This window comes from Homo sapiens, chromosome 16, assembly GCF_000001405.40.
Source record: "Homo sapiens chromosome 16, GRCh38.p14 Primary Assembly".
Lineage (NCBI taxonomy): Eukaryota > Metazoa > Chordata > Mammalia > Primates > Hominidae > Homo > Homo sapiens.
This window is the reverse complement of record NC_000016.10, coordinates 70065408-70087284: the sequence shown is the minus strand read 5'-3', so window position 1 is coordinate 70087284 and position 21877 is coordinate 70065408. Positions and strand designations below refer to the sequence as shown.

Genomic DNA, 21877 nt, shown 5'->3' with positions numbered 1-21877 from the left:
GCATTGCCCCAATCCCAAAATAAATCAATCTCAAAAATAAGAAAAAAATACAAAAGAAGTGTTCTATTAAAGCCTCAACTTCAGGAATAAGTTTGCAGATATGTAGATTCTTGGCTACAGGAAGGCAACTTCAGTTTAAATTAGTTCATTCACATTAGGATAAACTAGAAAAAAGGAATAAATTCAGGAAATTCTGGTGGAAAGATCTAATCCTAATGGAAAAACAGGATTTAAATCACTCCACCAAGTATTCTTGTTTTTCTTGAGACAGGGTCTCGCTCTGTCACCCAGGCTAGAGTGCAGTGGTACAATCTCAGTTCACTGAAGCCTCAACCTCCCAGCCTCAAGTGACCCTCTCACCTCAGCCTCCCTAGTAGTTGGGACTACAGGTGCATGCCACTACACCTGGTTAATTTTTGTGTATTTTGTAGAGACGGGGTTTCACCATGTTGCCCAGGCTGGTCTCGCACTCCTAGGCTCAAGGGATCCACACACCTCAGCCTCCCAAAGTGCTGGGATTACCAGCATGAGCCACACCATGCCAGGCCCACTCCACCAAGTTTTCCAAGCCCAGAAAAGTATGTGTGGAATTTCTGTCTGTTCCAGACCCTAGTCTTTCAATCTAATGTTTATACACAAATCTAGATTCAGATATCTATTTTGAATTTCATTTAGGTTTTTGTTTCTAAGTAAACATCAGAGGATTAGTTTGGGTTTTGTTCACCCATGTCTTTTAAAGTTCTAAAGAACCTTTGTATCTAAGCTCAACTTTATATTTAAGTTCAACTGCTCAGATGCAGACATCTTTTAACATGCAAACAAACCAAGACGGTATTGGTTAACTAAGGTCTCTTTTCTAAGTTTTACTTAGGAAATGCTTCATGCCTACCACTTCCAGTCAATATAATTCTCTCATCACATCAAACTCATGTTGATTAATTTTGTAAAAGTAAATGTTTGTTACCAACCGGTCAACTTTAATAAAGCAATATCAATGACTTCAATAACTCAGTTTAAATGTCATGCATTTGTCTGAGTTTGTTACTGAAGTCACCTGACAGTCACCTGTGAACAGGTAGTACAAAGCAGTATAAAAGGAAGTCCTGGCCGGGCGCGGTGGCTCACGCCTGTAATCCCAGCACTTTGGGAGGCCGAGGCGGGTGGATCATGAGGTCAGGAGATCGAGACCATCCTGGCTAACAAGGTGAAACCCCGTCTCTACTAAAAATACAAAAAATTAGCCGGGCGCGGTGGCGGGCGCCTGTAGTCCCAGCTACTCGGGAGGCTGAGGCAGGAGAATGGCGTGAACCCGGGAAGCGGAGCTTGCAGTGAGCCGAGATTGCGCCACTGCAGTCCGCAGTCTGGCCTGGGCGACAGAGCGAGACTCCGTCTCAAAAAAAAAAAAAAAAAAAAAAAAAAAAAGGAAGTCCTGAGCTACATTACTGTAATTCTTTCAAAGACGATCAGATCTTACCATAGTATCTTTGAAATTTTCATAATCATAATTACTGTTCTTCAGAAGAGTACTGGGAAATCTAATGTCTAAAACACAAGGCTTTGTAGCTCACGCCTGTAATCTCAGCACTCTGGGAGGCTGAGGTGGGCAGACTGCTTGAGCCCAGGAATTCCAGACCATCCTGAGCAACATGGTGAAACCCTGTCTCTACAAAAAATACAAAAGTTAGCCAGGTGTGGTGGCATGTGCCTGTAGTCCCAGCTCCTTGGGCGGGGGGGTGCTGAGGTGGAAGGATCGCTTGAGCCCAGGAGATAGAGATTGCAGTAAGCAGAGATCGCACCACAGCACTGCAGCCTGGGTCACAAAGTAAGACTCTGTCTTAACAAATTAATTAATTAAATAAAATACAAGGCTTTGACTTAAGACTTCTGAAACTTTAGTGTAGGCCATAAACAAAGATAAGAATTTATGATTAGAAGGATCCCTGACTAGGCCGGGCGTGGTGGCTCACACCTGTAACCCCAGCACTTTGGGAGGCCAAGGCAGGCGGATCACCTCAGGTCAGGAGTTTGAGACCAGCTTGGCCAACATAGTGAAACCCCGTCTCTACTAAAAATACAAAAGTTAGCCAGGCGTGGTGGCAGGCACCTGTAATCCCCGCTACTTGGGAGGCTGAGGCAGGAGAATCACTTGAACCTGGGAGGCGGAGGTTGCAGTGAGCTGAGATCGTGCCACTGCACTCCATCCTGGGCGACAGAGTGAGACTCCATCTCAAAAAAAAAAAAAGGATCCCTGACTAGAAGTGAGTAACGTGATAATTTGGACCCACCATTTTAATGAAGTTTGAAAAGTGAGAGAAGCCTTCCTTCCCCAAAGGCTTATCACTGAGCAAAGGATCACAACACTAGACCTAGCAAAATAATTTACTCAACTGGTTGCTAGAACTGCCCCCGCTTCCAGAACAACGAAATGGTGCATAAGAATAGGAAGTTGACTTCGCTGGTTTAAGACAGTCTTTTATTATATCATTTTGGGGCCATAACAAATTCCTAAACTTTTCTGGTTTTGTTGTGTTCCCTTGCCTCCAAGGGGGATGTAGAGGTAGTGCCTCAATTAAACAAAAACAATTTCTATAAATGTAAATCACCTCATCGATCTTTTCCTTACTTTACCAATAACTTATTTAATACAATTATACATCCTGTCCTTAAAGCTCAGAAAAACAAAAACAGAAAAAATGAAGAGTAGATCCTTTTTCCAAAGATGACTAATCACATTTCGCTTTAGAATTTAAGATTAAGCAGATCTAGCTTACATAAGTAATTGCCTCCAAAATAGATCAGACACAACAAAAGTGTCTTGCATCTGTGTATTGGCTTAAGGCTCAGTTTCTATTTATGACAAAGTATATTTTTTTCACATTTAGCATTCTTTTGGAATAGTGAGGAAACAACTCACAGGGTAAGACTATGGAATTGTTCATTCTAATTCCTGTTCTACCAGTTAATTTGTGCTATGTTTTGGAAGAAGCCAATCATTAATTGCATGAAAATGCTTTGAATGAAAGTGATTTGAATTTGAGCTATGATGAAGAGAGAAAAAATACATTTTTTTCAACCTTTCTCCCATAAAAATTAGAGTCCTATCTTTCCAAACCCCTCTGACAAACTCTGATAGCGTAATCACCAACTCACAACGTTGACATCTGTGAAAAATTTCCACTTCCATAGAGGGATCATTTCAACTGTCTCTGATACCAAAAGCTGTATCCTTTTGATATAAAGTATTCATTTAATCCACTGATGATGGCTTAAAACAGTATTTTCAGAACAGAAGAATTCAGAAATAAAAAATCCAAAGTTGTTTGTTTGTTTTGAGATGGAGTCTCGCTCTGTCGCCCAGGCTGGAGCAGAGTGGCTCAATCGCGGCTCACTGCAACTTCCACCTCTGCGTTCAAACGATTCTCCTGCCTCAGCCTCCCGAGTAGCTGGGATAATAGGCGTGCGCCACCAAGCCCAGCTATTTTTTTTTTGTAAAGACAATAGTCAATAGTCAATATCTATTTCTGGGTAAGAACCTGACTCACAACGAGCACTTTAGCTGCTCTGCATTCTAAAAATATCTGCCATAGGACACCAGAAAATAAGTATTCTGAACCTGTGTTCCAATTCTTACTTGGTACAACCATAACATCACAAAGCAGGCAACGGCATAAATGATTTTGCTGGCATAAATCTGGCTCCAAATTATAGCTATCTTTAAATTCTTCCCAAAAATATCTGAATTCAAATGAAAAATCCTTGGTTGATCACAAAACCTCTGTAGCCTCTGGCAGAAGTTTTCTTCTTAAGATAACAGTCCAGACACTTATATTTAAGAAAGTTCTTTGAAGGCAGTAACCACAGCTTGGCCTACCACACAATTCTAGGCATTCACTGGCATTCCATATGTTATCTGGTTGACAGAAATCTGACATCTAGGCTTCCAAAGACAGCTTACTGGGGTCAAATTGACATCAACAGCTTCTCCCAAACAACTTCCTTCGTGGACAATTTTTCAGGACTTTTAGCCTCAATTTAAATCTCAATTCTCTAAAAATTCCCATAAGACTATTAGATGATCAATTCTTAGAAATAATACCAAACAGGGCCAGGTACAGTAGTTTAGGCCTGTAATCCCAGCATTTTGTGGGGCCGAGACAAGCGGATCACATGAGGTCAGGAGTTCAAGACCAGCCTGGCCAATATGGTGAAACCTCGTCTCTACTAAAAATAGAAAAATTAGCTGGGCGTGGTGGCAGGCACCTGTAATCCCAGCTATTCAGGAGGCTGAGGCAGGAGAATCACTTGAACCCAGGAGGTGGAGGTTGCAGTGAGCTGAGATCACCTCACTGCACTCCAGCCAGGGTGACAGAGACTCCATCACCAAAAAAAAAAATATTAATAATACCAAACAACACTTAATTTTTCAGTCATTTGCCAATTAGCAAATGAACCAATGTTGGTTCAATGAATCAATCTTATACATTCCTCTCTGAGCTTTAAGCATTTCTTGATGGATCAGGCAATAACACTAATAAGCACTTCTGCAAAAATTTAATATTTTCCTTTTGAGTCTTTGGAAAGTTTAATTTTATGAGTCACTTCAAGATATGACCATAGTATGCTTTCTATCTGTCTAATAAAGTAGTGTACTGTATTATAACCTGTTTACATGTTCCTTGCAGGTGGAATTTTGTCTTCTCCATCTTTTTTTTTGATATGGAGTCTTGCTCTGTTGCCCAGGCTGAAGTGCAGTGATGCAATCTCAGCTCACTGTAAGCTCCGCCTCCTGGGTTCACGCCATTCTCCTGCCTCAGCCTCCTGAGGACTACAGGCGCCCGCCACCACGCCCAGCTAACTTCTTGTATTTTTAGTAGAGACGAGGTTTCACTGTGTTAGCCAGGATGGTCTTGATCTCCTGACCTCGTGATCCGCCCCCCTCGGCTTCCCAAGGTGCCGAGATTACAGGCGTGAGCCGCCGCGCCTGGCCAGTCTTCTCCATCTTTTTATACATAGTGCCTAGCACAGCTAGCATAGCACGTTCAATATTTGCTCCAAGTATGACTAGACAAAGCTGGTGAACAAAATCTGTACACCTTTTATTTTCAGGAGAATTTGCTAATTTTATATTAAAAAGCCTTAATAGTAATTTTATAACCTTGAGAAAAGTTTGGATGAAGTCCACAATGAACTAAATGACTGTTCTATAAAATGGAAAATAAACAACAGGAAAAGGGGCTGAGCGTGGTGGCTCACGCCTGTAATCCCACCACTGTAGGAGGCTAAGGCAGGGGGATCACTCAAGCCCAGGTGTTCAAGACCAGCCTGGGCAACATAGCAAAATCCCATCTGTGCCAAAAAGAAAAAAAAAAGAAAAAAAAAGTTAGCCAGGCGTGGTGGTGAGCACCCGTATTCCCAGCTACTTGGGAGGTTGAGAGGAAAAGACTGCTTGAACTGGGGAAAGTTGAGGCTGCAATGAGCCATGATCACACCATTGCACTCCAGCCTGAGCAACAGAGCAAGATCTCTAAAATAAAAATAATATAAAAAGAAAGGGCACAGTGGTGGACGGGTGCTAGAACTTAAGGGGCACTAAAATACTTATTGATTGTGCTTTCCTTTCTTGCAGCTGTCATTCAAAAGCTTCTTCCTGAAGTTGAGTAAGAGAGTCCGTGATGTTCAGAACATGTGTTTTCATTATGTGGCCAAATGTTAAAGCTGTTGGAGAAAGAGCTCGAAGTCTCAATTGATAGAAGACCATGATGTACTGGAATCCTAATATATCCTGGTCAATATGTTGGCTTACAAAGATAAGCATATGAGAGCAGCGCCTCAGCTTCATGCCTGGCAATGTCTCCGCCGTGTGTGGGTTTCCTAAAGTAACAGCAGTCATACCATATGGTGTGGCTTTCATTGGCATGGGCAGGCGAGAAGATGCCAAAAACTCAATGTGCTATTTTGGGCCATGAAACGTGATAAGCTCTAAATTTGAAACATAATTTTTTAACTTAAAAAGAGTATTTTTTAATTGTAAGATGTTTTTATACTGGATTTTATAATCTTAAGACTCAATTAGGTAACTGTTCTCAGTGTGTGAAATAAGACAAAGACTCAAAAGTCAAGAGGGGGACAAGCTTGGCAGCAATCTTCTGAAAAAAAAAATTTAGAGATTTAAATGAAATCTTTTTTTAGTGATACTATAAATATAAAGGTGAACTATACAGAAACAGCTTTTGGAATACTACGTTTTGATAATGCCGAACAAGGGCAGTAGATATGAGAAGCTGAGAGACAGTATCAGTGGGATGGAATCTCTTATTCCTCTCGAGCCACCATTCCAAATTTTGTACAATAACACACCTCCAGCCTATCAAATAAGCTGATCTAATGTCTGAAGTTAGAGCAACCCTGGAAATATTCATGTTGAATCTAACGGACAACTTGTTTAACCCTTACAAACTCAGCCCTAGATGTGAGCAACTAGGTTCAAGAATTCTAATAACAATTTCAAATGCTATACTGGGGCTGGTAATAGTAATCTCAGGAGAGCAATTTTTGAGCTTCCTTGTCTCAGTGCTAGCCTTTCCCGTAAGTCTGCTTCTTTTTCCTAAATTAGGTTAATTATACGTAATAAAAATAGTTTTTCATTAGTCCTGAGCTGGCAAAATGGGTTTTATGAACTGCTTCATATAAAGCAAGTGCTATATCTTATTTTATTTATTTATTTTTTGAGACAAGTTCTCGTTCTGTCACCCAGGGTGGAGTGCAGTGGTGTGATTTCGGCTCACTGCAACCTTAGCCCCAACCCCCACCTCAGCTCAAGCAATCCTCCTCTCTCAGCCTCCTAAATAGCTGGGGACCACAGGCGCACACCACCATGTCTGGCTATTTTTTTTTTTTTTTAATTTTTAGTAGAGACGGGCGTCTTGCCATGTTGGCCATGCTGGTCTCGAACTCCTGAGCTCAAGCAATCTGTCCACCTCGGCCTCCCGAAGTGCTGGAATGAGCCACCATGCCCAGCCTTTTTTTTTTTTTTTTAAATAAAAGAAAATACAACTTTAAAGTGTCAGTTGGCTAATTTGGGAACAGGTGTGGGTGTCAGTGTATGGGGGGAGGGGGACCTGCCTTTAGGTGTCATTTCCAAAGGCTATGATGATGTTATACAGCCCATTTCAAATGTACAAGGAGAATTACTGGGGAGAAGAAAGAGAAGGGAAGTGGGGAAGCTATCTTTTTAGGATACTTTTTGCACCTGCAAATCCTTAAACATCTTCCCCATTAGTCCAAGTAGATACAACAGAAGGTAGTCTAGAATAGGGAGTTAATTATAAACGGAAGAAAACGGCAAATATCTTTCTAGTTTTCCTTTTCCTACCAGTCCTTCACCTTTCCTACCGAAGAGTTAAGTTTAATCTAAAAAGTTTGAAGTTTGCATACCCTTTAAGCCCCACTGCTATGATCTAGTTTGGGAGATGTGGAAAATAGGTTATATAAAAATTTTTCTGAGTAATCAAAAGCACATCCAACATTTACTAGAGACACAATATTGTCTTCTACGGGATGGATTAGCATCTCTTCCTTCAAATGTCTTGACTTGGAAGATGCGATCTCTGTTAAGTTGCAGGTCTCTCCAGCCCCGGAACTGGGCCCTGCAGCCACCAAGATGCTGATGCCTAAGAAGAACGGGATTGCCATCTATGAACTCCTTTTTAAGGAGGGAGTCATGGTGGCCAAGAAGGATGTCCACCTTCCTAAGTACCCAGACCTGGCAGAAGACAAGAATGTGCCCAACCTTTACATCATGAAGGCCATGCAGTCTCTCAAGTCTTAAGGCTACGTGAAGGAACGGTTTGTCTGGAGACATTTCTACTGGTACCTTACCAACGACGGTATCCAGTATCTCTGATTACCTCCATCTGCCCCGTGAGACTGTGCCTTCCACCCTATACCACAGGCATCCAGAGACTGGCAGGCTTTGGCCTAAAGGTCTGGAGGGTGAGCAACCCGCAAAGCTCACAAAAGGGGAAGCCAAAAGACACCCACAGACAGAGTGCTGTGTCCCCTGGTCCGATGAGAAAGCCGAGGCCGGGGTTGGGTCAGCAACCAAATTCCAGTTTAGAAGCAGATTTGGTTGTGGGTGTGGTCAGTGACCTCAGTAAAACTGGAGAGGATTATTTTGCATTGAATAAACTTATAGACAGAAAAAAAAATGCAGGTCCTTCTGCTTAAGCCGGTGTTTAACCTGTGGTTTGATTCTGAATGTCTTCCCTAGTTTTGGAAACAATTTATATTGAAGTTCAGTTGTGTCACAGGCCCTTATTTTACTTTTTTTTAAAAAAACTTGTTTTTGGCCAGGCGCAGTGGCTCACGCTTGTAATCCCTGCACTTTGGGAGGCAGAGGCGAGCAGATCACCTGAGGTCAGAAGTTTGAGACCAGCCTGGCCAACATGATGAAACCCTGCCTTTACTAAAAATACAAAAAATTAGTCGGGTGTGGCGGCAGGCGCCTGTAATCTCAGCTACTCGGGAGGCTGAGGCAGAAGAATCACTTGAACCTGGGAGGCGGAGGTTGCAGTGAGCTGAGATCACGCCACTGCACTCCAACCTGGGCAACAAGAGCTAACTCTGTCTCAAAAAAAAAAAAAAGTTTTTAAAGACAGGGTCTCGCTATGTTGCCCATGCTGGTCTTGAATTCCTGGGGTCAAGTGATGCTTCTGCTTTAACCTCCCAAGGAGCTGGAATCATGGGTGCCCACCACCATGCTCGGCTACTATTTTCTTCAAAATTCAACTATTCTGACAGATTCTAGCTTAACAGTACATATTAGATAAATAAATGGCAATTTTCTGGAACACTCTTTTTTTGGTTTTGTTTTGGTTTTTTTTTTTTTTTTTGAAACGGAGTCTCGCTCTGTCGCCCAGGCTGGAGTGCAGTGGCTCCATCTCGGCTCACTGCCAGCTCCGCTTCCCGGGTTCACGCCATTCTCCTGCCTCAGTCTGCCGAGTAGCTACCACTACAGGTGCCTGCCACCACGCCCGGCTAATTTTTCTGTACTTTTAGTAGAGACGGGGTTTCACCGTGTTAGCCAGGATGGTCTCGATCTCCTGACCTCGTGATCCACCCGCCTCGGCCTCCCAAAGTGCTGGGATTACAGGCTTGAGCCACCGCGCCAGGCCATGGAACATTCTTTAAAATAGTATAGACTTCATAGCAGTTGCAACTTCAGTTATTGTATTCTGCTATCATTTTGGTCTTCTTGTGGCTTCTAAAAGCTGAATTTTCACTGCATATCCAAACTCCATAACTTGGTAATCAGCTCTTTAATAGAAGTAGCTATCTGACAATAGCACAACTCACATATACAAAAATACAATTTGTCAATCTAGATTTATGAGATCATTTAAAATTCTCAACCAAAGCGTAAGCTTTCAACATTCTCAACCATGGCCTAAGTAAATCTCAGTGACTGAGTATTTAAGAACCAAGTACAACACAACATATAGTCATCTATGGGAGATAACTAGGGAATTACCTTTCGCACAAAATCAGTCAGGAAAAAAAAATACAATGTGTACAATTCCTCAGAATTATTTATTTAAACCCTACTTTGTTACAAAATGATTTAAGACAGGATTTCCTCAATAAATGGGAGGAGAGCCAGGCGCCGTGACTCACGCCTGTAATCTCAGAACTTTGGGGGGCCGAGGCGGACGGATCACTTGAAGTCAGGAGATCCAGACCAGCCTGGTCAACATAGTGAAACCCCATCTCTACTAAAAATACAAAAATTAGCTAGGCGCGGTAGTGGGCGCCTGTAACCCCAGGTACTCGGGAGGCTGAGGCAGGACAATCACTTCATCCCAGGAAGCAGAGGTTGCAGTGAGCAGATTGCACCACTGCACTCCAGCCTGGGTGACAGAAAAAGACTCCATCTCAAAAAAGAAAAATAAAAAAATGAGAGGGATTCCAGCACTTTTCTCAGTATATTCTGGCTAAATGTAAGATGGTCACTTAAATTGAGCAGATGGGACTTCATTAAATCACGATGAAAATGAACAGCCAAGAAAAGAACTATTGTATAGGAAGGAACTTTGGTAAAGTGCATGAATAAAATTACATTTTGGTGGATATATCTAATTAATATTCATTTCCTCAACTTGCAAAGCAAATGACATCATTGTTTGTCACTTTAACTAGTTCTCTGTTCAACAGTGGACCTACTGACAGATGCCCAAATAAAGATCACACACTAACATAAAAAGATGTAACTGCAGCCAAACATGGCGGCATGCACGTATAGTCCCAGTGCTTTAGGAGACTGAGGTGTGAGGATTGCCAGAACCCAGGAGTTTGAGGCTGCAATGAGCTATAATCTCACCACTGCCCTCCAGCCTGAGCGACTGAGCAAAACCCTGTGTCTAAAATAAATAAACAATAAAAACATATAATTGCCTTCAGTTTATAAGACTTTGTGATAAAACGGGAAAAAAGAAAAAACAGTTGTAACTGTGCTTGGAGATACCCACCAGATGGGCCATTCTCACAAACTGATCAAATGATCACTATGGTGGTGTTAAAAATAAGTTTACAAATTGTAACTTTTCCTTCACTGAAAACTGATCAAGAAAGCCAACTCCCCAAATTATAATCTTGTCTTATCTAGTGGTCTGTCCTAGATTGACAAAACATAAAATTGGGCAATTATTCATGTTGTGAAAGGATCCACTATACAAAAAACAAAATTTAAAAATTAACGCAAGTTTCCTTGACATTGTCAACTCCATCAGTACATTTAAAATGGGATTCCAGGCTGGGTGCGGTGGCTCACACCTATAATCCCAGCATTTTGGGAGGCTGAGGCAAGACGACTGCTTGAGCCCAGGAGTTCAAGACCAGCCTGGGCAACACAGAGAGACCTCATCTCTACAAAAAAAAATTAAAAGATTGGCCAGGTGTGGTGGTGTGTGCCTGTAGTCCTAGCTGCTTGGGAGGCTGGGGCAGGAGGATCACTTAAGCCAGGAGTTCAAGGCTACAGTGAGCTGTGACTCCTCCATTGTGCTCCAGCCTGGGCAACAGAGAGAGATCCCTGTCTCTAAAGAAAAGAAGAAAAAGGAAAGAAAGAAAAGAAACATGCTGGATTTCAGGAACAATTAGCCTAAGATTTAAAAGATTTCTGTGGAAAAATCAAGTCACTAAGTCATACAAAGACAATCATAGCTGGTGATAATTCATCTTTTTTTTTTTTTTCTTTTGAGACAGGGTCTTGGTCTCGCTGTATCACCCAGGCTGAAGTGCAGTGGCACGATCACGGCTCGCTGCAGCCTCACTCTTCTGGGCTCAAGCAATCCTCCCGCCTCAGCCTCCTGAATCCCTGGGACTACAGGCACATGCCATCGCACGAGGCCAATTTTTAATTTTTTTGTAGAGAAGGGTCTCACTATGTTGCCTGAGCTAGTCTCCAACTCCTGGGCTCAAGCAATGCTCCCACCTTAGCCTCTCAAAGTGCTGGGATTACAGGCATGAGCCACTGGTAAGAATAAATCACCTACTTTATATTACAGTTAACAGTTAATTACAAATTCCTAAATCACAAAATGTCCCTCTTACTCTTACTATAACAAAGTAAAATAGTCCTACAGGAAAAATCCATTACAATAAGATATAATAAGGCATGAGTCACCGGGCCCGGCCGAGAATACTTACTTCCATCTACACTAACACGGGATGTTATTTTATTTTATTTTATTTTATTTATGTTTTATTTTATTTGTTATTTTATTTATTTTATTTATTTATGTTATTTATTTTATTTTATTTTTTGAGACAAAGTCTCGCTCTGTCGCCCAGGCTGGAGTTCATTGGCACGATCTCCACTCACTGCAACCTCCGCCTCCCGGGTTCAAGCAATTCTCCTGCCTCAGCCTCCTGAGTAGCTGGGACTACAAGGCATGCGTCACCATGCCCGGCCAATTTTTGTATTTTTAGTAGAGATGGGGTTTCACTATGTTGGTCAGGCTGGTCTCGAACCCCTGACCTCACGTGATCCGCCTGCCTCGGCTTCCCAATGTGCTGGGAGTACAGGTGTGAGCCACCATGCCCAGCCGGATGTTATTATTTTTTTAAAAAACTTTGCTAATTATAGGCAAAAATGCTATTTGATCCATTTCTGCATTTTTTTGGTTACTAGTAATGTTGAACTTTTTGTCATGTTGACTATTTGCATGTTTTTCCTTTTTATATTGTCTGTTAATGTCTTTGCCCATTTGCCTTCTGGGCACACAGTTTTAGAGAAGCCTGTTCACTTTCATGAAATGTAAATAAATCTGAAACAAATTAAACATCAATTATAGTTTAAAATGCTAATAAAAATTCTTATTTTCAGCCAGGTGTGGTGGCTTATGCCTGTAATCCCAGCACTTTGGGAGGCCAAGGTGAACGGATGCTTGAGCTCAGGAGTTTGAGACCAGCCTGGACAACATGGTGAAACCCCATCTCTACCAAAAATACAAAAATTAGCCAGGGGTGGTTGTGTCCTAGCCACTGTGGAGGCTGAGGTGGGAGGATGGCTTGAGCCCATGAGGCAGAGGTTGCAGTTAGCTGAAACACCACTGCACTCCAGCGTGAGAGACAGGAGTGAGAGCCTAGCTCAAAAAAACAAAAACAAAAACAAAAACAAAAAGGTCCTTTGAGTACCAGAAAAATTGTCAATGGGAATACTTTCCTCAAGGTCTTGAAAATTAATAATAAATCAACAAATCATTGATGGTAGTGGCTGGTGTTGCTTTCTTCTATATCTAGCTAGTTATCACTGAGCAAACATTCTCTAAAACATTTTCGATGTTTCAGAGCAGAGATTTCAAATTGACGACCAAGGGATGGATTCATGCATAATTTACTCTCTTTTATTTTGCTTTATTTTTCTTATGGTATTTACAAGTAATTAACATACATTATATAGCTACTTATCTCTCTGTTACAATAGGATATAAGATCCACAAAAATAGCCAGGCACAATGGCTCACGCCTGTAATCCCAGCACTTTGGGAGGCCAGGGCAGGAGGATCACTTGAACCCAGGTGCTCAAAGACCAGCCAGAGCAACATAGGGAGACCCCACCTCTTCAAAAATTAAAAAATTAGCTGGGCGTGGTGGTGCATTCCTGTAGTCCCAGCAGTTTGGGAGGCTGAGGTAGAAGGATCACTTGAACACTGAAGGTTGAGGCTGCAGTGAGCCAGGATCATGCCACTGCATTCCAGCCTGGAGGACAAAGTGAGACCTACCTCAAGTTAAAAAAAAAAAATAATCCACAAAAGGCAAAGACTTAATCTCTTTTAATGATTATTGTATCTCCAATTTCTAAAATACTGTGTGGTATATAATGCACCTTCAGAAAATATTTGTTGAATTCATGTATTTAGTAATTATTTATTGAACTCCCACTGCATCCTAGGCACTGGATTAGCTAGACTTGGGAGGTAAATACCTCTGCCTCCATGTAGTGTCTTTAAAATATGATTCTCGGCCGGGCATGGTGGCTCACACCTGTAATCCCAGAGCTTTCAGAGGCTGAGGCGGGCAGATCACCTGAGGTCACAAGTTCAAGACCAGCCTGGCCAACATGGTCAAACCCGGTCTCTAATAAAACTCCAAAAATTAGCCAGGCATGGTGGTGGGCACCTGTAATCCCAGCTACTCAGGAGGCTGAGGCAGGAGAATTGCTCAAACCCAGGAGGCAGAGGTTGCAGTGAGCTGAAATCAAGCCACTGCACTCCAGCCTGGGTGACAGAACAAGACTCGGTATCAAAAAATAAATAAATAAAATAAAATATGATGCTCATTAAAACCAGATTGAAAACATTGGAAATGTTTTGGAAATAAAATATACACACTGTGCCAGTATGTGGATTCATTACTCATTAATTCTATGACTATTTTTTGAGAGCTTATTTGCAGTCACTTGGGGACACAATAATATTAAAGACAGATTCTGTCCCTGCAGATATGGCATTGATAATCTATCAAGGGAGGTAGACATTAAGCAACTAATTAATTGTGATTGTGCCAAGTACATAAAGGAGAAAGACAGGTGCCTATAAGCACTCATGAGATTTCCCTGAGAAAATGATACTTACACTTCTACCAAAGGGATTAGAAGTTACACAAGACAAAAGGGAAGGGGAAAAAAGAACAGTCTCATCGAAGAAAACGGCTTGTCAGGAAAGATCTTGCTGTACAGAAAGACCAAGGGGGGCACTGTGGCTCGCGCCTGTAATCCCAGCACTTTGGGAGGCCGAGGCAGGTGGATCATTTGCACTCAGGAGTTGGAGACCAGCCTGGGCAACATGGTGAAACACACAAAAATACAAAAAAATTCGCCAGGCATGATGGTGTACACCTGTGGTCCCAGCTACTCGGGAGGCTGAGGTGGGAGGATCACTTGAGCCTGGGAAGTCGAGGTTGCAGTGAGCTGTGTTCACGCCACTGCACTCCAGCCTGGGTAACCAAGTGAGACCCTGTCTCAAAACAAAAACAAAAAGAAACAACAACAACAACAACAAAAAGACCAAGAGAATAATCAAGGGAATAATGACAGCCAGAGACCAAAGAGGTAGGCAGGGGCCATATTATATACTCATGGGCCAAGTGAAGGATGCTCGCTTTATTCCATGGATAGCTGAAGGCCTGTAAGCAGATGATCTGATTTCTACATTTAACAGATGACTCTGGTTTCTGTATTGAGAATGGTTTGGCTACAGAGACTGCTTAGATATGGCAGTAGTCAAGGCGGTAGCAACGGAAATAGAGATGCAGACAGCTTTGAGAGATATTTAGGAGGTGGAAGTGGCAACACTGATTGGAAGGGGTTAGGGAAGGGAAAGTGTGAGAGAGAGGAAGACACCCTGGTTCCTGGCGTGAACAGCTGGGTGGATGATGGGGAGCTTTTATGGGATGTGGAGTGTGAGAATCCCTGGTTTAGGGTGGAAGAGGAGTCCAGTGCAATCAAGGCACAGCTATAAATGTGTACAACTGAGGCAGAAGTTTCAGAAGCAATGAGTACCCTTACTACCATAGAAGATGCTCTGATTTTTTTTCTTTTTTCTTTTTTTTTAAGAAATTTTTGGCTAGGCATGGTGGCTCACACCTGTAATCCCAGCACTCTGGGAGGCTGAGTTGGATCATTTGAGGTCAGGAGCTTGAGACCAGTCTGGCCAACATGGTGAAACCCTGTCTCTACTAAAAATACAAAAATTAGTTGGGCATAGTGGCTCACACCTGTAGTCCCAGCTACCTGGGAGGCTGAGGCATAAGAATCGCTTGAACCTGGGAGGCAGACGTTGCAGTGAGCTGAGATCACACCACTGCACTCCAGCCTGGGCAACAGAGTGAGACTCGGTCTCAAAAAAAAAAAAGAAAAGAATTTTTTTACCCAATAGTAAATAACCAACCAATGCTCTGATATTTTTTAATCAACTTTGTTGAAGTATGTTTTACATAATAGATTTTCATGTTTTACATAATATAATAAAATTCACCCGTATTACATGTACAGTTCAACAGGTTTTGACAAATGTATATACCTGTGTAACCACCACGATTAAAATACAGAGCTCTTCTGTCATTTCCAAAAATTCCCCAGCACCCCTTGGCAGTCAATTCCCCCTCCATCTCAGCCCCAGGCTTTCTGTCATTATAGTTTGCATTTTCTAGAATTCCATATAAATGAAACCATAGAGCATATATACAGTATACATATGAAATAGGTATTCACTTGTATCTGGCTTTTTTATTTCCTTGGAGACAGGGTCTTGCTGTGTCACCCAGGCTAGAGTGCAGTGGTGCAATCACAGCTCACTGCAGCCTCAACCTCCCAGGCTTGAGAAATCCTCCATTCCCAGCTAATTTTTTTTTTTTTGGTAGAGACTGGGTCTCTCTATGTTGCCTAGGCTGGCCTCAAATTCCTGGGCTCAAGCGAACCTCACACCTCGGCCTCCCAAAGTACTGGGATTACAGGCTCCAGGCCATGTATCTGGCTTCTTTCACTCGGCATAATGTTTTTAAGATTCATCTATGACAGGGACCAGCAAACTAGGGCCTGTGGGCCAAATCTGGCCCACTACCTGATTATGCAAAGGCCTAAGAGCTCAGTATGACTTTATACTTTTAAGTGATTGAAAAAAAACTCAAAGAAGAATATTTTGTGACACATGTAAATTAAATGAAATCCAAAATTCAATGTCTATAAATAAAGCTTTATTGGAACACAGCGACGCTCACTTGTTTACATACCATCTATGGCTGTTTCCATGCTACAGAATCAAATACTTGAGACCGAGATCGCAAGAACCTAAACTACAGCTTGCAAAGCCTGAAATATTTACAACCAGGCCCTTTACAGAAAAACTCTGCCAACTCCTAATCTGTGGTGTCCCATGGATCAATAATGTACTCCCTTTACTTGCAGTACAGTACTCCATTCCATTGTAGGGATAGGCCACAAGTTGTTTATCTGTTTGTCTGTTGATGGACATTTGGGTTACTGCCCAATTATCCTTAATCCACGTGATGTGCTCTGATGTTTTGCATCCTATTTCATTTTTTAAAAAATTGCCACTCATGACCCAATGGTTGATATCACAACCCACTGATGAAGTACTCTCAGTTTGATATAGATGTTAATTGAAATAATGGAGGATGAAATTATGTAGAAGAAGAAATCAAAAGGACTTTCCAGGCCGGGCACAGTGGCTCACGCCTGTAATCCCAGCACTTTGGGAGGCTGAGGTGGGTAGATCACCTAAGGTCAGGAGTTCCAGACCAGCCTGACCGATATGATGAAACCCCGTCTCTATTAAAAATACAAAAATTAGCTGGGCATGGTGGCACGTGCCTGTAATCCCAGCTACTCGGGAGTCTGAGGCAGGAAAATCGCTTGAACCTGGGAGGTGGAGGTTGCAGTGAGTCAAGATACACCACTGCCCTCCAGCATGGGCAACAGAGCGAGACTCTGTCTCAAAAAAAAAAAAAAAAGGCTTGCCAGCTGAGTGCTGAGGAAATCCAACAATTAAACATTGGGTGGAGAAGGAAGAAACTCCAAAAGACATTGAGAAGGAACAGGCAGAAAGGGAAGGTGACGATCCGGAGAATTTGATATTGTGGGAAGCATGGAAAGTCAGTTTCAAGAAGAAAGTGATCATCTGGTTCTAGGGCTGCTGAGAGGTCAGGTGTGATGGACTGAGATGGTTTTAGTGACACTGGTTTGGGTGGAGGGAACAAAGCCGAAGCTAGATTGAGATGAGTTGGTGGTGCTTGTGTGATGAGAAAATTGAGACCATTAGGTGTAACCAGAAGGGGATGTGGATGAAGATAAGGAGTTTTTATTTGCTTGTTTTTTGATCATAAGAATGTTTAACAAACACTAAAAGGCAAGCATAACCAGAATTTTACAGATGAGGAAACTAATATACCAAGAGGTTAAGTAACTTGCCCAAGTAGTTTTCACTTATACAGCTTAAAAAAAAAAAAAAGAAAGAATCCAGTTCTACTTGTAGCCTCAGTCTGAACTCTAACCAATGGGCTATACTATCGACAAGGGAAAAAACTGGCCCAGACATAATCCAATTTTTGTACCTTTGAGTTAAAAGTCTACAGTTGAGGCTGGGCCTGGTGTCTCACGCCTGTAATCCCAGCACTTTGGGAGGCCAAGGTGGGTGGATCACCTGAGGTCAGGAGTTGGAGACTAGCCTGTCCAACTAGTGAAACCCCGTCTCTACTAAAAACACAAAAATTAGCCAGGCTTGGTGGCACGCACCTGTAATCCCAGCTACTCAGGAGGCTGAGGCAGGAGAATTGCTTGAACCCGGGAGGCGGAGCTTGCAGTGAGCAGAGATGGTGCCACTGCACTCCAGCCTGGCGACAGAACGAGACTCCATCTCAAAAAAAAGAAAAAAAGAGAAGTGTTTGAGGCCAGGCTCGGTGGCTCAGGCCTGAAATCTAAACACTTTGGGAGGCCGAGGCAGGAGGATCACTTGAGGTTGGGAGTTTGAGACCAGCCTGGCCAACATGGTAAAACCCTGTCTCTACTAAAAATACAGTGTGTGCGATGGCGCACGCCTCTAGTCGAAGCTACTCAGGGAGGCTGAGGCAGGAGAATCGCTTGAACCGGGGAGGCAGAGGTTGCAGTGAGCCGAGACTGCACCATTACACTTCAGCCTGGACAACAGAGTGAGGCTCGTCTGGAAAAAGAAAAAGAAAGAAAAAGACAGGTCTGTTAGCAGCACATAAAGCCATGTCAGTAGAGATTAAACCTCCCCACAATTGATGGCTTCGTGCTCCAAACTGTACAATATTCTGCTTATCTCTCTTCACTAGTCCATAGAATGTTGCATTATAATGTATCAGTTTTCCTATCTGTGCATCCACAAGCCAAATGGTTTCAACATTTTTTTTTTCGGGGATGGGGGGAATCACAGACTTGAGTATATAATGAAGACAATGGATGTTTTCCCCAGAAAAATGCACCCACTCACACACAAAATGTTGAGTATAGTTTCAGAGACCTCCATCTGCATCCCAAAGTAAAAACTTCTACCCAAAATAGTGTTTTTCTTCAGGGCAGAGAGCTTGTCTTTGTTGTGTGTGTGTGTGTGTGTGTGTGTGTGTGTGTGTGTGTGTGTGTGGAGACGGAGTCTTGCTCTTGTCGTCCAAGCTGGAATGCAGTGGTGCAATCTTGGCTCACTGCAACCTCTGCCTCCCAGGTTGAAGCGATTCTGCTGCCTCAGCCTCCCGAGTAGCTGGGATTACAGGCGCACACCACCACACCCACTAATTTTTCTATTTTTAGTACCGACGAGGGTTTCACCTTGTTGGCCACGCTGTTCTCCAACTCCTGACCTCAGGTGATCCGCCCACCTCGGCCTCTCAAAGTGCTGGGATTACAGGCATGAGCCACCGCGCCCAGCCTTTTTAAAATTTTTAAATTTTTTTATTTTATTTTGCTTTTGAGACAGAGTCTCGCTTTGTCGCCCAGGCTGGAGTGCAGCGGTGCGATCTCTGCTCACTGCAAGCTCCGCCTCCCGGGTTCACGCCATTCTCCTGCCTCAGCCTCCAGAATAGCTGGGACTACAGGCGCCCGCCACCATGCCCGGCTAATTTCTTTTCGTATTTTTGGTAGAGACGGGGTTTCACCGTGTTAGCCAGGATGGTCTCGATCTCCTGACCTCGTGATCCGCCCGCCTCGGCCTCCCAAAGTGCTGGGATTACAGGCGTGAGCCACCGCGCCCAGCCCAGCCTCTTATTTGTATTTTTATTGTTTTTTGAGATGGAGTCTCGCCTTATTGCCCAGGCTGGAGTGCAGTGGCGCAATCTCGGCTCACTGCAACCTCTGCCCCCGGGGGTTCAAGTGATTCCCCTGCCTCAGCCTCCCAGGTAGCTGGGATTACAGGTGTTTGCCACCACGCCCAGCTAATTTTTTGTATTTTTAGTAGAGACGGAGTTTCACTATGTTGGCCAGGCTGGTCTTGAACCAGCCTCTTATTCTTTTACATACTATTTCCAGCACAACTGTCCGAGATGGCAGTCAATAAATGTTTGGCTAAATATAATAAATAATACGGTTGATTATTTCCACTTTTTCATGTTGGGTTTTCAAAGACTACTTTTAAAACAGTAAAGTTAACTTTTCTCTCTAGTATTTGTTTTGTAGAATCTATTATACTTTGTAATGTAATCCACAGAAACTTGGAGGTGACTTTAGTAAAATGTACTAGTTTTGAATGATACCCATACTGAGGTGCTCAGAGGTGAAATGTACTAACATATATCGATGGATGGATATATGGATGCATATGTGATTAAAGCAAATATAGGGAAAATTAACTGTAGAATCTAGGTAGTGGGTATATGGTTGTTCACTGTACAATTGTTTAAACTTTTCTACCTTTGAAAAATTTCAAAACACGTTGGAAAAGTGACTTGTTTTGCTCAAGCAGGGGTACATTCAATCTTCAATTCTTGAAAGACATAAATCTATCATTCCTTCTGTTTGGAAAGCTCTTTAGAGAGTCAGAATAATTCCCACAGTACAGTCTAAACCAGCACACAAGGGTTTTTTGGTAGAAAATAATTTTATTAACATAACCAGGCAATTTACCAAATACAACGTAGATAGCTCAAAACATGGAGTTACTGCGCTGAAAATGTGACCCTGTTTACACAGATTTCGGGACGAAGAGTATAAAACAGGAGAGAAAAGGAGTAAGATTGTGGTTGCAGCGTCCTCGCAGAGGTGAAGTGTTCCATTGATTGCCACTGTGGTAGTCTACATCAGTTTCCCACATTAAGGTGGGAGGAATCTACTAAGCAAATGTACGCCCTCCCCATTCGTTCGAAACACATTGCAGTAAAATTGCAAAAGTGGCCGGGCGTGGTAGCTCACGCCTGTAATCCCAGCACTTGGGGAAGCTGAGACGGGAAGATCGCCTGAGGCCAGGAGTTTGAAGCCAGCTTGGGTAACATAGTGAGACACCCCCACCTTCTCTATTAAAATGAGATTTTAATTTTTTTTCTCTTCAGTTCATCGGTTAACAAGATAAAAAAATTAATAAAAAATTAACTTTTTAAAACATTTAAAGTAACGTAGGAGTGGAAGCAGTATGTGGACTCATGGGGCTTGGGTCTGAATCCTACCTAGATCGGCACTGCGAAATGGGGATAATGATCTCCTAGAGCTGCTGAAATAGGAAAATGGAAGAACAGCAGCTGATGTATTAATATTATCATTATTACTACTACCCATTACCTGACAAGTCATAATTGTGACATGCAAGAGGCTGGACCAGTTGTTTCAACAATTTTTTCCGTCTAGAATTCGGCGGTAGGGTCTGAGACAACACCTCAGCTTAGATCAGTGCCTTCTCTGAACAGCGTTCACTAAGCAGCCCCCAACCCCAAAACCCCCAAGTCCCCGGGCGCCGAGGACGCTGCGAGTCCTGCGCATGCGCAAGGTTGCTCTCTCGCTCACCGCCTCCTTGGCGAATGGCCTGTTCCATTCTCGAGGGATGCCGGCGGGAGGTGAGGCGGGAGACTTGGAAGCCTGGGCCCGGAAGTGAGGTGCGTCACTAGTATTTCCAGCCTTTCACTCCATGAATAGTACTTTGTGATTATTATACTTCTACCTAGATGATTGCAACAGGCTGCTGGAAAGAGTTTGGTGAACAATCCACCGGGCATCCTCCCCCCTTCACCTGCGCACGTTAGGGAGGGCCGGCGTGGCGCCCAGGTACGGAATCCCAGAGGGCTCCGCCCACCATTACAGGGCCCCGCCCCGCCGCCCCGCCGCCCCTCAACCATCAGGTTCGGCAGCCGGCGGCGCCGCCTGGCAGCTCCTCCTCTTCTCCGCCCCGCTGGCCGCGGGCGCGGGGGACGTCAGCGCTGCCAGCGTGGAAAGAGCTGCGGGGCGCGGGAGGAGGAAGTAGAGCCCGGGACCGCCGGGCCACCACCGGCCGCCTCAGCCATGGACGCGTCCCTGGAGAAGGTGCGTGCCGGGAGGGGGCGATGGGGACGGTGCTGCGGCCCGGGGCTCCCGCTTCCGAGGCAACTATTTCCCAGTCGCGAGCTGCCATTGTGACCCGGACAGGGGGACGCGGGCTGACAGGCCTCGCCTGAGGAGGCCTCGCCGGGAGGGCGGCTGGGGCCCGGGCGCGTCACGGGGCCGGGTGTCTCTTGGGTCCCCGTGGGCCGAAGAGGCTGGGCGGGGTTCCGTGGGGGCCGCGAGGGGCCCGGAGCCCAGGACTGGGACCGCGGGGCCGACCTTGGGCCCTGCCGAGGTTCCGCGAGTGGCCGGCCTGAGCTCGGCTGGCCCTTTCGGAGGACCGGGAGCTCT

General features: G+C 43.8%; 1 long non-coding RNA gene and 3 pseudogenes across 2 annotated transcripts in view, besides 3 other annotated features; 3 read left to right on the top strand and 1 right to left on the bottom strand.

Moving 5' to 3' along the window:
- RPS10P24 (ribosomal protein S10 pseudogene 24) lies at positions 7624-8202 on the top strand (annotated as a pseudogene).
- LOC124903706 (uncharacterized) lies at positions 17357-21013 on the bottom strand. The gene is made up of 2 exons (XR_007065099.1): positions 20795-21013; positions 17357-18230 (listed from the first exon to the last, which is right to left on the bottom strand). It is a non-coding gene; the product is annotated as an uncharacterized LOC124903706 (long non-coding RNA).
- Positions 20850-21463: an enhancer, noted in NCBI's record as "H3K27ac hESC enhancer chr16:70099725-70100338 (GRCh37/hg19 assembly coordinates)". NCBI's record gives its function as "activates a minimal SCP1, AML or CMV promoter by ChIP-STARR-seq in naive H9 embryonic stem cells {active_cell/tissue: H9 hESC(naive)}" and the evidence as "EXISTENCE:reporter gene assay evidence [ECO:0000049][PMID:30033119]".
- Positions 20850-21550: a biological region, named in NCBI's record as "H3K27ac hESC enhancer GRCh37_chr16:70099725-70100338".
- Positions 21231-21550: a silencer, noted in NCBI's record as "silent region_7668". NCBI's record gives its function as "represses an Ori minimal core promoter by ATAC-STARR-seq in GM12878 lymphoblastoid cells {active_cell/tissue: GM12878}" and the evidence as "EXISTENCE:reporter gene assay evidence [ECO:0000049][PMID:35858748]".
- PDXDC2P-NPIPB14P (PDXDC2P-NPIPB14P readthrough, transcribed pseudogene) overlaps positions 21337-21877 on the top strand; it is an 89652-nt pseudogene continuing 89111 nt past the window's right edge. The window contains exon 1 of the transcript NR_003610.1: positions 21337-21529. The product of NR_003610.1 is annotated as a PDXDC2P-NPIPB14P readthrough, transcribed pseudogene (transcript). The remainder of the gene's footprint in view (positions 21530-21877) is intronic.
- The window catches only part of PDXDC2P (pyridoxal dependent decarboxylase domain containing 2, pseudogene), a 54947-nt pseudogene continuing 54406 nt past the window's right edge, over positions 21337-21877 (top strand).